This window comes from Homo sapiens, chromosome 10 (assembly GCF_000001405.40).
Source record: "Homo sapiens chromosome 10, GRCh38.p14 Primary Assembly".
Taxonomy (NCBI): domain Eukaryota; kingdom Metazoa; phylum Chordata; class Mammalia; order Primates; family Hominidae; genus Homo; species Homo sapiens.
In genome coordinates, this window is record NC_000010.11 from 51,901,105 (window position 1) to 51,916,690 (window position 15,586).

General features: G+C 36.1%; 1 protein-coding gene across 5 annotated transcripts in view, besides 3 other annotated features; it reads left to right on the forward strand.

The window, feature by feature from the left end:
- PRKG1 (protein kinase cGMP-dependent 1) overlaps positions 1–15,586 on the forward strand; it is a 1,307,463-nt gene that overhangs the window by 910,217 nt on the left and 381,660 nt on the right. For all 5 annotated transcript variants that reach the window (NM_001098512.3, XM_017016413.2, NM_006258.4 and 2 more), the window contains exon 5: positions 6,403–6,466. In NM_001098512.3, coding sequence (NP_001091982.1) covers positions 6,403–6,466 — 64 coding nt within the window. The remainder of the gene's footprint in view (positions 1–6,402; positions 6,467–15,586) is intronic.
- Positions 8,380–9,302: an enhancer, noted in NCBI's record as "OCT4-NANOG-H3K27ac hESC enhancer chr10:53669244-53670166 (GRCh37/hg19 assembly coordinates)". NCBI's record gives its function as "activates a minimal SCP1, AML or CMV promoter by ChIP-STARR-seq in naive and primed H9 embryonic stem cells {active_cell/tissue: H9 hESC(naive and primed)}" and the evidence as "EXISTENCE:reporter gene assay evidence [ECO:0000049][PMID:30033119]".
- Positions 9,303–10,225: an enhancer, noted in NCBI's record as "OCT4-NANOG-H3K27ac hESC enhancer chr10:53670167-53671089 (GRCh37/hg19 assembly coordinates)". NCBI's record gives its function as "activates a minimal SCP1, AML or CMV promoter by ChIP-STARR-seq in naive and primed H9 embryonic stem cells {active_cell/tissue: H9 hESC(naive and primed)}" and the evidence as "EXISTENCE:reporter gene assay evidence [ECO:0000049][PMID:30033119]".
- Positions 13,817–14,728: an enhancer, noted in NCBI's record as "OCT4-NANOG-H3K27ac hESC enhancer chr10:53674681-53675592 (GRCh37/hg19 assembly coordinates)". NCBI's record gives its function as "activates a minimal SCP1, AML or CMV promoter by ChIP-STARR-seq in naive and primed H9 embryonic stem cells {active_cell/tissue: H9 hESC(naive and primed)}" and the evidence as "EXISTENCE:reporter gene assay evidence [ECO:0000049][PMID:30033119]".

Sequence of the window (15,586 nt, forward strand, 5' to 3'; positions counted from 1 at the left end):
ATCACTTTTGCAGCATCAATGCAAATGTCAACATAGTCATTCCAGGATAAGCCTTAAGAGTCAAAAAGTTATTCAAGTCCATCTTTTAAAAAGTTATTCAACACTGAATAGCACAGTTACCACTTGTGTTCATTGCCACATATTCATGTAAATGATAATTTCTTTAATGATTAGTTTGTTCTGGTACTAGAAGAATGATTAGTTTGTTCTGGTTCTAGAAGCAAATCCAGCCATGTCTGTAGCTTCATTCATTTGTAAAGCAAAAGTACAATTGTGCAGACAGGATCTTAACTCAGTCTTTGTTTTGAAGCTAAGCCTTTAATTCCAGCAAGGTACCATACCGTTTGAAAGATGCAGTGCAATAATTTCTTTTACTGACTTTGCATCTGGCACGCATTCAACAAAGCCAACTTTACAGGGTTTCATTTGTCTCTTAATTATTGTGTGATCTTCTCTAGTGAATGCAATATGGTAACTGACCCGTAAGATGCTTGACTGATTTTCAGTTTTAAGTTGAAAAGCTATACAGAACACTTTTCCTTTAGAAAATGCATCATGTCTACATTTTAAAAATTCAATTTCTTTTTCTTTAAAGTCTGAATGATTTGTCTCAAAATGGTGTCACAACTTAGCTGGCATGATAATCTTTCCAAAAATGTTGTTTTATAACATAATAATGGAAATTATTATCTATACCATGAGAGAAAGATAGCTTTCATCCTATTTGTATTTCTTATTTACAGTGTTTCCAAGTTTCTTTGGATTCTCTATCTATCTTACATGAGTCAGGAACTCTCTGATGTGACATTTAAAAAATATCATTGATAAATAATAATTACACATACTTATGGAGTACATGTGATATTTTGATGCATTTTTATATTTTCCAAGTGTCTTTGGACTTAAAGATTGACTGCTGTGACTTGAGAATATGAGTCTTCTAATCACCTTTTCAAAGCGATAATCTATTCTTAAATTAAGAAAATATAATATAAACTTTTATTTTTTATTTTTGTTTTTATTTTTTGAGATGGAGTTTTGCTCTCGTTGCCCAGGCTGGAGAGTACAGTGGTGTGATCTCAGCTCACCGCAACTTCTGCCTCCCGGGTTCAAGCAATTCTCCTGCCTCAGCTTCCCAAACACCTGGGATTACAGGCATGTGCCACCATACCCAGCTAATTTTGTATTTTTAGTAGAAACGGAGTTTCTCCATGTTGGTCAGGCTGGTCTTGAACTCCCGACCTCAGGTGATCTGCCTGCCTAGGCCTCCCAAAGTGCTGGGATTACAGGTGTGAGCCACCACACCTGGCCTTAAACTTTATTTTATTAACTTCTTAATAAGTACTATACACTTCTAAAATTATAAGTAAGATAAAATTTTAAATGTTATAAATGTTTTAAAAATATGTAAAACTGTTATTGAAAAATAAGGTATCCAAATGTATTTACTTGTTGTTTTTCTACTCAGGCACACAGAAAACTTAAGGATTTCAAAAGAATGACCTAGTGGATGATGATAATAAGGTTACAGAGATTATAGCAGGTGTAATGACTAGTAAGAGCACAGTAGAAGTGCTAATAGCATACTAATTTCTGTAAACAGCACACCTATCATAAACCTACTACCTTAAAAATTATAGAAGACCCAAGAACAAACAAGCATGCATCCCATTAGTCATTAAAGTGATAATATCATTCTATGTCAGGTGATCTCTAGAGAATTCTACTGTGTACATGTGAAATAATAAGTGAAAAAGGCAAACTCCAATTTATGGAAATAGTTTTGACCTTTGAAGACCCATACAAAAGGGTCACAGGAAATCCCTGGGTTCCCAGACCACATTTTGAGAACTCCTGCTGCATGTAATTATGTTATTCTATATGTGCTCCCAATTTTTGTTTTTATTGACACATGCTTTAATAAAATTTTTTGTACCTAGGTTTTCCCCCTCTTAGCTATTGTTTTCATGTAATAGGTTAACATAAATAAAATTACTAAGATGAATTAAGAAAATGGGACATCTACTAATACAGCTGTCCTCTTCAAAATGTCAGTGTCATATGGGCAAATGTGGGAGGGTTGTCGTAAAATGAGAGACTATAGAGAGGAATAACAGCCAAAAGCAGTGTTCAGATTTTGACTGGACTTGGTTTGAAAACAAAACAAAACAAAAAACAATTGATAAAGACACTTTTGGACAATAGGTAATATTTGAATGTGGAATAAATACTAGATGATAGTGTAGATTTATAGTTAATTTTGTTAGGTATGATCATGGTATTAAGGCTATATACTTAGGAGAATGTTTTTATTTTTAGGATGTGTATGCTGAAGTATTGAAATTGTTTCATATTGGCAACTTACTCTCAAATGTTTCATTCAAAAATAACTGTATATCCGTTAATCTATGCACACACACAGAAGAATACATGGATTGAGAGTAGATAAACAAAAAATGATACATGTTAACAGTTGTGATTCTGTGTGTTGGGGATAGAGGCAATCTTTATTATTCCAGACTTTCAATTTATTTGACATGCTTTATAATAAAATGTTTGGAAATAAATGAAGTCACTAAATCAAATGTTACTAATATTATTTATTTATTTCCATATCACTATCTAAAAGAGTAAAGTGTTGTTTTGAAAGGCATTTTTTAGTATATTCATTGAAAAGTATGTAGCTCAGTGAGTAAGCAATCAACTCCACCATCATTTACAGGGGATGTTTCATCCTTTCTTCACCAGTGCTGAGTGGAATGACCTCAGGCAGACTTTCAAGGTCTCAGTTGTCTTATCTATACAATAGATGACAATAAGAATGGCTATTTGATAAGGTTGTTGTAAAAATGAAATTTATATTATCTATAAAACCCTTAGCTCAGTGCCTGGCAAATAGAAACTACTCAAATCTCATCTTCTATTATTGTCATTACAAATTGTAAGTCGTTGCTACATTCAATTAGAAAAACCAATGGAAAAGCACTGCACATTAGATCATCTCTATTATATTACATTCTAGTGCATTCTGTAACTTCGGGCCTATTGCAAGTCCTTAGGGAACCAAAACAATAGGTAATGCATCTGTAAGAATTACTCATAATTAGCATGTAAATTGTTACAATAAATTATTTTTTTTTGCATAACTGAAAATATTCTTCTCTAATGTTTAAACATTTTATCTGGAAGTTTGTCCTTGCAATTATTTTGCTTTCAGTTTTCTAAAGGATAGAAAACTTTATTTTGAATTATTTTATATATAATTTAGTGGAGTCTAAAATGATGTATTTTGATGTATTGGAGGAAACTAAACTAATATATTTCGTGGGTAGAATTTCAAACTATAAACATTCTGAATTGTTTTGTTCCTAGTGTGTATGCTACTAGTAGACCAGTCATTTTTAGAAAGCAAATTAATTACGTGACAGAATTTATCTAGTGTTTGCAGAATATAAATCTTAGAATTGTAAAGATGGCTAGAAAAGTGTTTTCACAGTAATTTATGACAGTGAAGGCACTTATTTTTCCTGTTAAATGGTTTTCTTTTTGTGAAGTCCAGAAGTGCTTCAGTTGTTACTGGTAATATTTTAGAGTGTTTCTTCTTAAAAATCATCCTTAATTTGTATTAGCAATAAATGCTGCTCAATGTTTTGAGGCATTTAAAAGAGGCATTTAAAATTGTGAAAGATGATATATTTAAAATGCCATCCTAAAACCTGATGCTTTTGTTTTCACTTAATGCATTATATAGTCAAGTAAATTTCTTCTCTTGGATAAGAACTCTCATGGAAATGAAAATACTGTATTATGGCTAGGAATAGCCAGAGCCTAAAGTAAAATAATAGGTGTAGTATAATAGGAATAAGCTGGTCTAAAGAAGGAAGCCAATTATAATAAAATGAGAAAAACTCAGTTCTAGTTTGTATTTTCCAGGAATACCTAATGGGATAGAAGCACTCTAATTATTCATCTCAGAAGAAACTGAAATATAGCTCATTAAAAGAACAAGGCAGGACTAAATTTTTCAACCTACATAACTCATGGCAACAGCTTCCTCTATCTCCTTCTGTCTTTATGTGATATGGTCCATCCAGCTGCTGAAATAGACTGCCTTCTGGAAATTAAACCCCACATGGCTCAGACCATAGCAGTAAATCTGGTGCAACAGATGGTCCTGGGTGAATTGTTACACCTCTGCATAAAACCTTGGGATTTCATCAATAAGCCTTACCCTAAGTAATGGAAATCAAAGTGACAAATTAACAACAAAATGTTCATGCTTTTACCAAAAGAGAGCATTATTGTTTCTTTTATGGTATCATTGTAATCAAGCCAAAATTATGCTGTAAGTCAAACATCAGGCATACAAATGTATATGCACTCAGTTATAGCCTTTTCTCCATTCAGATATTAAGCTATGATTAATTAAGACTATAGTTCCACATCCCAGTTAGATTTTCCAGTGAGGTTTCAGGAATTATATGTTGATAACCTTTTGTTTTTTTTTATTTAAAGTTATTATAATTTTGCATAAAGTAAGTTTTATTGGTTTGTGCATTTGACATCATTTAGTATTTTTATGTACTGTTTAATGGGGAGAAATAAGAGAACAGGATGAAAAGAAGGGAACTAACATTGTATTTTGATGTATTGGAGCAAACTAAGCTAATATATTTCATGGGTAGAACTTTTCAGGTCTAATCACTGTCCTATGAAGCATTCACAAATCCATGCTTTCATAACTACATTCAAAATATGTTGTTTGTTATTTATAAATCGCTGAAAATACAGGGGGTTGAAAAAGACAGACATAGTTCTTATTTTTGTGGATTTTTAATTCTAGCAGAGAAGACATTCAGTAACAAAAATCCAATTAATTATCTAATTACACTTGTAGTACGAGATTAAAGAGATCGTGATAGGAGAACTTGACCTAGCTGGAGAGGGGTTGAGGAGAGTGGGAAGCTTTCCAAAGTTGTTAAGTGAATGTTTGCAGATCTGAATGCATCATCAATCAACCTGTGTCTTCAATAATGGTTAGGAGTCGGCCTGGAGAAAGGTGTGTGTATGGAGGAAGACCTGGAAAGGGAAATAGAGCTTGAAGGAACCTGGTGACAGCAGACTAACAGAGGAGAGAGTGTTTTTCTCCTCATTATATGTTGAGGCACCTATCAACAAAAAGAGTCAAACTCTGTAAAATATTTGAAGAGATTCATTCTGAGCCAAATGTGAGGACCACGATCCATGACACAGCCCCAGGAAGTCCTGAGAACATATGCCCAGGGTGGTTGGTTTACAGCTTGATTGTATACATTTTAGGGGGACAGAAGTTACAGGCAGACATCCATCAGTACATATAAGGTATATATTGGTTTGGTCTGGAAAGGCGAGAAACTCAAAGTGGGAGCTTCTAGGTCATAGGTGGATTAGAAGGTTTTCTGATTGGCAATTGGTTATAAGAGTTAAGTTATTATCTGAAGACCCAGAATGAATAAAAGGAGTTTCTGGATTAAGATAAGGGGTTGTGGAGACCAAGGTTCTTATTATGCAGATGAAGCCTCCAGGTAGCAGGCTTCAGAACTCTTATCAGACATAAAAAGATGCCAGACTCTTAGTTAATTCTCTGCTAGATTAGGGAAAAGACCTGGAAAGCAAAGGGGATTCTGTATAGAATGTAGACTTTCCCCACAAGAGACAGCTCTACAGGAGAGAAATAATTTTCAAAATATGTCAAAGGAATATATTTTGGGGTAAAATACTTCAATTTCTTTCAGGGTATGCTATCTGTCATGTGATTCTATACTAGAGTCAGGTTGGAATTTGGTATCTTATTTCTATAAAGAGTCTGTTTTGTCAGTCTTAAGATTTCTATTTTAAGACTTACAATGAGACTTAAGATTTCTATTTCTATTTGAATGTTAATTCTAGTAAGTTGTGACTGAAATCCAAAGGCAGGAGGGTATAATGAGGCATGTCCAATCCCTTCCTTCCCATCATGGCCTGAACTAGTTTTTCAGGTTTACTTTGGAATGCCCTTGGCCAAGAGGGGCATCCATCAGTTGACTGGGGGGCTTAAAATTTTATATTCGGTTTACATATCCATGGTCACACAGGTAAATGTAACAGTGATTTGGACTCAGTCTGTCCAAACTCCAAGTTTTTTTTTCATACTCCATGCCTTTTCCCTGTTAGACATCAAACCATGCTTAAATGATTGCTTTGATCTTCATCTGCAACTTTGTTCTTTTTTTTCAGGTTGTGTGGCTAATGCATTTTTTTTTTTTTGGCAGATTCCTTGTCATGAAATAGTTTTGTATTTTAATTAGATTCATGGTCATTTTTATTACTTATGAAAGTAAGTTGTGGTTCATGTGTTCAGCACTATTCTGTTTTGTTTTTCAGCGTTCCAACATTCCAGAGCCTTCCTGAAGAGATCCTCAGCAAGCTTGCTGATGTCCTTGAAGAGGTAATTGTTTTTAGCCTTTGAACTTTTTGAGATGGGATCCAGCCTGCTTGGCTGGCTTCTTTCACAGCTGTGTGATGAGGAATCACAAACTGCAGAGATCTTTAAAAAATTTCTAAGCTCTGGGATGAGCTATATATTTGGCTTCGTATAGAAAGCAGCTTATCATGTCTGACATTTATATGCAGAAAGGTGCAAATCAACCTAATTATAGAGGGAGACAAACTTTTTGTTGTGATAAATACCATGTTACTTTGACTTACTAGAATAGGAACTGGCATATTTCTCTTATTTTAACTAGTGTAAAGTAAAATTGTAGTTATCACCACTCTGAAGCTTCAGATTAGCAATTTACAACTAGGATTAGTAGTTGGGCACATATTTTATTACCATATAAGTATGTTTGATACACATAATTTTCTGCCTGAAAGTGGAATGCCACTTTTAGTTGTTTTTCTCTGAACCCACAAAGCTATGGTTTTGAGAAAGAGGAGAAACAACACACATTAGGCTATCCTTTTGTAGACTGGGATTCATAACAGCAGCAGCAGGAGGAAGTTTTTCTGTTCAAATTGATGAGCTTTATACGGAATGTAGTCTAAAGTTGTTCTCCTAAAGGTATTGGGCATATGAGTTTTGTTTCAGGTCGAAAAGATTAAAAAATTGTCTTTTCCTGTTTGCTGAGGAAATAGAGATACATTGGTGGTGTAGGAAATTTCAAACTTTTTCTCTAAAGGTTAAAGTCTAAGTCTTTTGAAGTGAATTGACAATAGAGAGATTAACAGGAGAAAATGTCATACAGGAATAGTGTATGGGGGAGGTCATGGTGACAGAATTGGAGGATGGAGTCAGAAAAAGGTGTGTCTAGAGTGCTATAAGTGCAGCCAAGTAATGGAGAGCCACTTAGGACATTGCAATTAATTTAGCTTTTACTTAGAGTGAGATAGAAGTCACTGGATGGCTCTAGGCAGAGCAATGAACTTATTTGACTTAGATTTTTAACAAAATTGTTGTGGCTGCTGTGTTGAAAAAATAAATAAAGAAGCTGCTACAATAATCCAGGGAACAATAGTGGTGACTTTGTTCACTGTGGGAGAAGGAGATTGAAAAATCATCAGATTGTGACTCTCTCTCTCTCTCTCTCTCTGTCTATCTATCTATATGTAATTTTTTTTTTTTTGAGACAGTGTCTTGCTCTGTCGCCCAGGCTGGAGTGCAATGGCGTGATCTCGGCTTACTGCAACCTCCACCTCCCTGGTTCAAGTCATTCTCCTGACTCGGCCTCCTGAGTAGTTGGGATTACAGGTGCCTGCCACCATGCCCGGCTAATTTTTTTGTATTTTTAGTAGAGACGGGGTTTCACTATGTTGGTCAGGCTGATCTCAAACTCCTGACCTCGTGATCTGCCTGCCTCGGCCTCCCAAAGTGCTGGGATTACAGGCATGAGCCACCACACCCAGCCGATTGTGACTATATTTTGAAGGTAAAACTGAAAAGCTTTACCATTGCAGTAAACTTGTAAAATGAGAGAAAGAGAGGAATCAAGGGGAAACCCTGAGGTTTCTGTTGTAAATAATTAGAAGGATGGAGTTGTTATGAATTGACGTGAAGAAGACTGGAAGAACAGTACACTGAGGTGGAGAGATAAGAAGCTCAGGGAGAGAGGCTGGAGTAAAATCAGAAGCTTAAGTGATCTTTGGCAGGTAGATGGTTTCTTGTAGCATTGTTTAAGTAGAGGGAGCTATTGGCTATCTGAATATCATTCTGTGGGACCAAATGCGGATGAATACAAGGCAGAACCCTGAAGGAGGGAGCAGCCAACAATTATTATAAAACCATGAATCGATCTTAAAAACATCATGCCGAGAGAAAAGCTTAAAACCAAAAAAAAAAGAGATAGTTATTGAAAGATCATTTACATATACGAAGACATATGAGCACAAAAATACATTTTGCTGGGAGTCCTGACAAAATATTGAAAATTGGATATACGTGAACAGTGGTCTGTATCAGAAAAGGGAAGGGAGATCTATAGGGATAAAAGGGAATGAATGAATGAATGAATGAAGAGGAAGGCATAAGGCCTTGACTGATTCTTCACATTTCTACTTTAAGAGACTGAGGAATGAAGAGGGACCAGGAAAGCCTGTGGAAGTAGGAGGAAAATCAGGAGCTTTTTGCTTGTTAAAATCCAAGAGAAGAGAATAACTTAGAGAAGAGTCAGCAAAGCTTGGATTTTAATTTAGGTGAAAAGATAAGGAGAGAAATGGGGTCAACAGGTAGGAAAGGGAAAGTCAGGTTGAGAGAAGAACAGAAGATATTACTGAAGCAGGGGACAGAGAGGTTTGCACACATAAGCCCCTTGAGTAAGCACAAGAGAATAGGCGCTGTAGTGCCTCTAGAAACAGGGAAGGTAGACTATCTGGTTACACATGCAGGTGGGTGGATTGATGTAATGGCTGGAGCTGTGGAAAGCCTATTCTGATATATTCTATTTTCATAGGATGCAGAAAGCAAGTATGATTGCTAGGCATCATTAAGGCCCTGCTTGATGTTAGTAATCCCAAATCTTATTCAAGATTATTGCAATAGGGGAAGGAGAATTAATTCCATGGAACAAAAGGTAGGAGAGCTTTTAAGCACTGGGGTGAGCTAGTGGAAAAGTCACATAGGTAAATCCAGTGGGGGTACTCTAGGAGGGAGGCAGTTGTTCATTGTGATTAGGCCATCTGTGTTTGCTATTTGTTCCTGATGGAAGTTAGGCTCCCATCCTCCCAAGAGACTGAGAGAAAAGGATCTGTCTCTTTTCTTCTAAGATTACATTTCAAAAGGATGGTTCCAAGGTCCTTGAGAAGGACATTCCTGGGGTGTGAAATCAGCTGGGAGAAGATTTTCATCACAAAGAGGCAGATTAAGAATTTTCAGTTGAAATTTCTTTAAAAGTAAGTGCTCCAAGTAAAGGGAAATCAGGAGCCTTGAGTCAGGAAGCTGACTGTCTAAAGTTTAGTCAAAAGTTTAGTCAAGCAGAGGGGAATATTAAGCCCTCTTGGACACTAGAACATTTGATTATGTGTCTGTTTTTTAGCCTCATTCGTTTACCTGGATTCACTTTCCAGGTAGATATAGAATTGGATTTAACCAGGATTGTTATTTTGCCAAGCGAAGATGGGTGGTTGATAGAGGGAATGGGGCGTTGAGTGCATATGGAGAGTGATTGTAATGATTGACCTTGGAATTTAAACAGGGCAAGGAGGAGACAAGCACCAGATGGGCAATGGCCAGTGAGAAGTGGTAGGATCAGTGACTTTTAGTCTCATGAGGTTAAAGAATTTCTGGAGTAGGGCTATAAGAAGGGATAAGTTAGAAAGATAGTGAAAATGCTTTTGTCTCTAGGTACTGACTATACCAGTAATTCTGTGATCCATATACAGATTCTTAGCTGGTGGTTTATTGAAGTCAGCTTTGCTGTGACTTACTGGTCTCCTTCATCTATGTGAACACAAAGTGAAGCAGAACATTGTCACATTTGACTCCTATGTTCAAGTATAAAAAATTTATGAGAAAAAGTACTGGCTATATTTCTCTCTGAATGTGCTGACCTATAACCTCTGTAAATATAAAACTACTTTTCCAAGTTGGTCTTTTGCCTTTTGCTTTTTTTATTGAATACACTGAAGACTCTCTGGTGACATTGTGTGTTGTTGTTTTTAAATCAAACTAAAGCACAAATTTATTAGCCCCAGTCAACCTCCTAAAAAAAAAAAAAAACCCAACAAAACAAAGACTTCATGAAATTCTTTAATCATTGTCTTTCTTTTCCACAGCTGTAAAAGTATTTGCTATTTTGTGTAACAAAAGCCATAGCTCTATAAATAATTCTGACCAAAGAAATGTTTTAGTATTTTATGTCAGATTTTCTAATCAGAAGATGCCTTAATTTGTGTTTGGATTGTGTGAGCCATAGTACAGTCCATACCAATGCTGAATTAAAATGGAAACAGATTATTAAGTACTCATACATTTGTTTTCAGGATGTAAAAATGAAGTAAACACACAAAATGCAAAGTAGACATGTAAATACAGTACCCAGTACAAACAAAGTGTTTAACTCAAGTTGAATAAACAGGCACAATGAGAAACTAAATTATATATCAGATAAAGTGAAGCAAATTTGGAAGAGCAAAAGCAATACTGAAGTCACATAACATTAAGGGGAAATGTGCTTGCATAATAATTGAGCTGTCTATCTCAAATAGCCACAAGAAGATGAAAGAACCCCAGATAATTTTGAAAGGAAAGCAGTACCATTAAAGCCTTCAACAAAGAAGTTTATAGCTTTGTTCGTTTGACAAATATTTATGGAGCACTTGCCATGTGCCAGGAATTGTTTCAGGGCCTGGAGATTCAGGACTGCGCTCTCTCATAGCATGTGTTTCAGTGAAGGATACTATGATAAGGAAGGAAGGAAAATAACATCAAGTGAGAAGGCTACTTCTGTAATTACTAAGGGAAGAACTCTCTGAGGAGGTGATATTTAAACCAAGATCTAAATGAACGTATGGGGAGCCATGTGCATCTGGTGGAAGGAAGAGCAGACACACCATTTTAAAGTAGGAATGAGTTTGCTGCTCTTAAAGAACAGAAGGAATATTTGTGGATGGTGGTAGTGTGTTGAGAGGAGGCTACAGAAAATTAAGCAGGACCAAGTTGCAGAGGGTTCTGCCAGTCATGATAAGGAGTCTGGTTTTTATTCTAAATGTAATGGGGAGATTTTTATGGTTGTAAGTAGTAAAGTGACATAAGCTGAGTTACGTTTTAATAACATCTCTCTGACACTTGTGAGAAGAATGGATTACTGAGGGAAAGGCCAGTTAGAGGGCTACTGCAAAATAACCCAGGTGAGGGTGGATGGTTTGCATGTGGACTTATTTCTTATTGACTATTCATTCTGAATATTCATTGTAAAACAATACTTCCAGCAGAAGAGAAAACAATTTAAAAGTAATATGGAAAGACAGAGACTGAGAGAAACAAGTGTAACCAGACAAAAAGAGCATTGAACATAATGATATTGAAAGTGATATGGATAGTTAAGTGTGACAAGAAGGCAAGGGTACAACACCTGGGGAATCTTGTTATGAAAATGAAAAAATTAAAATAAAAAATAAAGGATTTAGGAGTGATTTCTGCCATGGCCCACCCCAGCCCCCACCTACCCCCTTCTGAAATTTCTAGCATAAATATACCACCCACTTGTGAGTTTCTCCCCATGAGATTATAGTACAGGAATGAATCTCTTTATTCTTTTTGTTTGTTCATTGGCATTATTACTATTGTTTTAAAAATTCAACTTCTATTTTATTTTATTATTATTTTTTTGAGATGAAATCTCACTCTGTTGCCCAGGCTGGAGTGTAGTGGTGCGATCTCAGCTCACTGCAACCTTCATCGCCCCGTTTCAAGAGATTTTTGTGCCTCAGTCTCCCGAGTAGCTGGGATTACGGGTGTGTGCCTCCATACCTGATTAATTTTTGTATTTTTAGTAGAGACAGGGTTTTGCCATATTGGCCAGGCTGGTCTTGAACGCCTGACCTCAGGTGATCCGCCCGCCTTGGCCTCACAAAGTGCTGGGATTACAGGCGTGAGCCACGGCGCCCACCCAATTTCTATTTTAGATACAGGGGTACATGAACAGGTTTGTTACACGAGGATATTGCATGATGCTGAGCTTTAGGGAATGGATCTTGTCACCCAGGTAGTGAGCATAAGTATCCAATAAGTAGTTTTTCAACCCCCACGCCCTATCCTCCTCTAGTAGTTCACAGTGTCTGTTGTCCTCATTTTTATGTCCATGTGCACTCAATGTTTAGCTGTCACTTATAAGTGAGAACATGTAGTAATTTAATGAACCTTTTTCTCTTTCCTTTATATAACATACTAGAACAATTTCCTTTGTATAGTGAATCACTCCTTCTTCAAGAACAAATGAGAGTTTTCTCTAGTCTCTTTGAAAAGTTGTGTATACTTACAGGTATAGAGTTTCTTGGTCAAAAATCTGTCCAGACCAAACACAGTAATCTCAATATTTTCCTAGGCTGTGTTTTGAAAGACAAGTTCAAGTAATTTACTTGACTTTCTAAGTGTTCACTGTTATTGTCACTGTAGTATACTCTACTTATCCCATATTTGACTCAAATCGAGACAATAAATATTAGAGATTATTTTAGGACTCAGATTTATTTTGATAGAGAAGCCATTTTTAGTTTGTAAAATAGGAGTTTTAGGTGCAAGTATGGAACAGAAAACTCTGACTTTATAAACTGGTTGCATTAATCTCTATACTATCCCATATAGTACTGTGAAAATATGTATTTGAATTAATTGAATGTATTTGAGTCTATTCTGAGAGTCTAGGATGTACCTGGGGGAAGAGGAAAAAATTGTGAAATTATAAAACAGGATCCAATCTCCTCTTTCTTACTGTAACAAGCTAACTCATTTTCTTTCTTCTCTTATGTATACTAAGATAAGTCTCTATACATGAATTACATTTTTCAAATGGTTTGAAGAACCCCTAACTAATCTCCAGCTAAGAAATAGCTCCCTTTAATTATTGCTTACCCAATCACAATGGAGAAATGTCAGTGAGAAAATAAAAAAAAAAAAGTATTTATCTAAATGTTGAGGCTATGATGACATCTTTAAAGAAAGCAGCAAATAAAAACTTTTTTTCATAGAGAAAAGTAGCAAAGATTAACCTAATATGTCACAAAAAGCACTTAAAAGTCAATTTGAATCAGGGGTTATACATTCACAAATGGGGGAGTAAAAGTTGAGATACCTTGAGGAAAACCGAACTTTATTGAAAACACCAAATTGGAGAACCAAATTAAGTCAACAAATTCACTTTTTACCACCTGGTGTGAGTACCATTCCTTTATCTATGTGAAGAGAAGTGGGGCATGGATGCTATGTTTAGATCTCCTGATTTTTAGGTAGAAAACAAAGCATATCAGAACCACTTCTTTGCTTGTATTAAAGTCAATTTCATGTCCAATTTTCCCTTTAAAACATTTGATTAGATTTTCTTGGAATAAAAGACTTCTGTCTCACTAACTTTTTAAGAACTCTCTACCTTTGATTTGCAATTTTGCATGATTGGATCTTGGAAACATTTCATCCTAACTTATGAGTTGTTCTGATTTGTGTCCCTGGATGGTGCACTTATGTACGTTATTATCCACTGGATATTTATACTTCTATGGCACCGATAAGGTCTTGGGCAAATAACATTTCTTACTTACTAAATTATTAATTGGAACATTATAAGAAAGTTTTTTAAAAAAGACAAAAAAATAGGCAAAGAGAGAAAACATATTTCAACTCACCCTTGCTTAATGATATAGTAGGAAGTACATATCAGATTATACATTCCAGGGACCCTCTTGGGAAAAGGAGGTTAATGTAGCCAACTTACTCTTACTTGCTGCCAGGTCCAGCAGGCTGATTAAATAATTTAGTTGTTTTGGCTGTGCAGCTGTTCCTCAGTTTTACTGTCCTGTGTTGACATCATCCCAGACTCCTTTGCATTCTCTCCAACTGTGAGTAACAGAGAAAAAGTCCTGCCTTAGGCGGAGTTATTGGAGTACTGTGAAGCTCTCTCTTTTATCATTCTAAATAGGCCTAGACTCTTCAGGAGAGACACTGATAAGGTCAATGGCAACATTATTAGTTCTCTTTGAAATCTGTTGTTTGTAACTAAACTTTTTCTTCCCTTCCTTCAGGTTGGCTCTTGCCATTTAAAGCCAAGCTGGAAGAGATTAAAAGTTTCTGTTCTTTCTCAATTGCTTTGGCCTAACATGCTCTGAGTTTGGAAATTTAACTGCCTCTTTTGTTCTCCCTCATTTCACTTGTGTCTTCCCTTTTGGGGAGCAAATTACTGCTTTTGAAGGAGAATGAGTTGGAAGATGTGTGTGTGTATGTGTGTGTGTGTGTGTGTTGGTAGTATGGAAGATGGGGAGGATAAAAAGAGAAGAGCTTAAGAAGTAAAGACAAAACTCTCAGTTCGGTATTAATATCTCCACGTCTTATTTACAAAGCAAATAGGGAATGGGAGAAAATATTTGCTAATTATAGGTGTTATAAGGGACTTGTATCCATAATTTTTACAAGACACTTACAGCTTAATAATAAAAAGATGAATAATTAATAAGATGAGAAAAGCACTTGAATAGACCTTTCTCCAAAGAAGATACACAAAAGTCCTATAAGGACACAAAAAATTTCTTAACATTATTAGTCATTCGGGAAATGCAAGTCAAAATCACAGTTAACATACTACCTCACACCCACCATATTGACTAGAATAAAACATAATAGACAATAACAAGTATTGGCAAGGATATAGAGAAATTTGAACCTTTACACATAGCTGGTGAGATTGGAAAATGGTGTGCCTTCTTTGGAAAACAGTTTGGCAACTCCTCAAAATGTTAAACATGGGGTTACCGCGTTGTCAGAGGTGTGTGAGCCAGAGCAACCCCATCTTGAGTAGAAGCTGGGTAAAATGAGCCTAAAACCTACTGGGCTGCATTCCCAGACAGTTAAGGCACTCTAATTCACAGAATAAGATAGGAAGTCAGCACAAGATGCAGATCATAAAGACCTTGCTAATAAAACAGGTTTCAGTAAAGAACCCAGCTAAAACCCACCAAAACTAATACAATATGGTGACAAGAGTGACCTCTGGTCGTCCTCACTGCTATACTCCCACCAGCACCATGACAGTTTACAAATGCCACGGCAACATCAGGAAGTTACCCTAAATGGTGTAAAAACGGAAGGTATGAATAAGCCACCCCTTGCTTAGCATATAATCAGGAAATAAATAACCATCAGTATGGGCAACCAGCAGCCCTGGGGGCTGCTCTGTCTATGGAGTAGCCATTCTTTAGTCCTTTACTTTCTTAATACACTTGCTTTCACTTTACTCTGTGGACTCGCCTTGAATTCTTTCTTGTGTGATATCCAAGAACCCTCTCTTGGGGTCTGGATCAGGACCCCTTTCTTGTAACTGTATGACCTAGCAATTCTGCTCCTAGGTGCATACCCAAGAGAATTGGA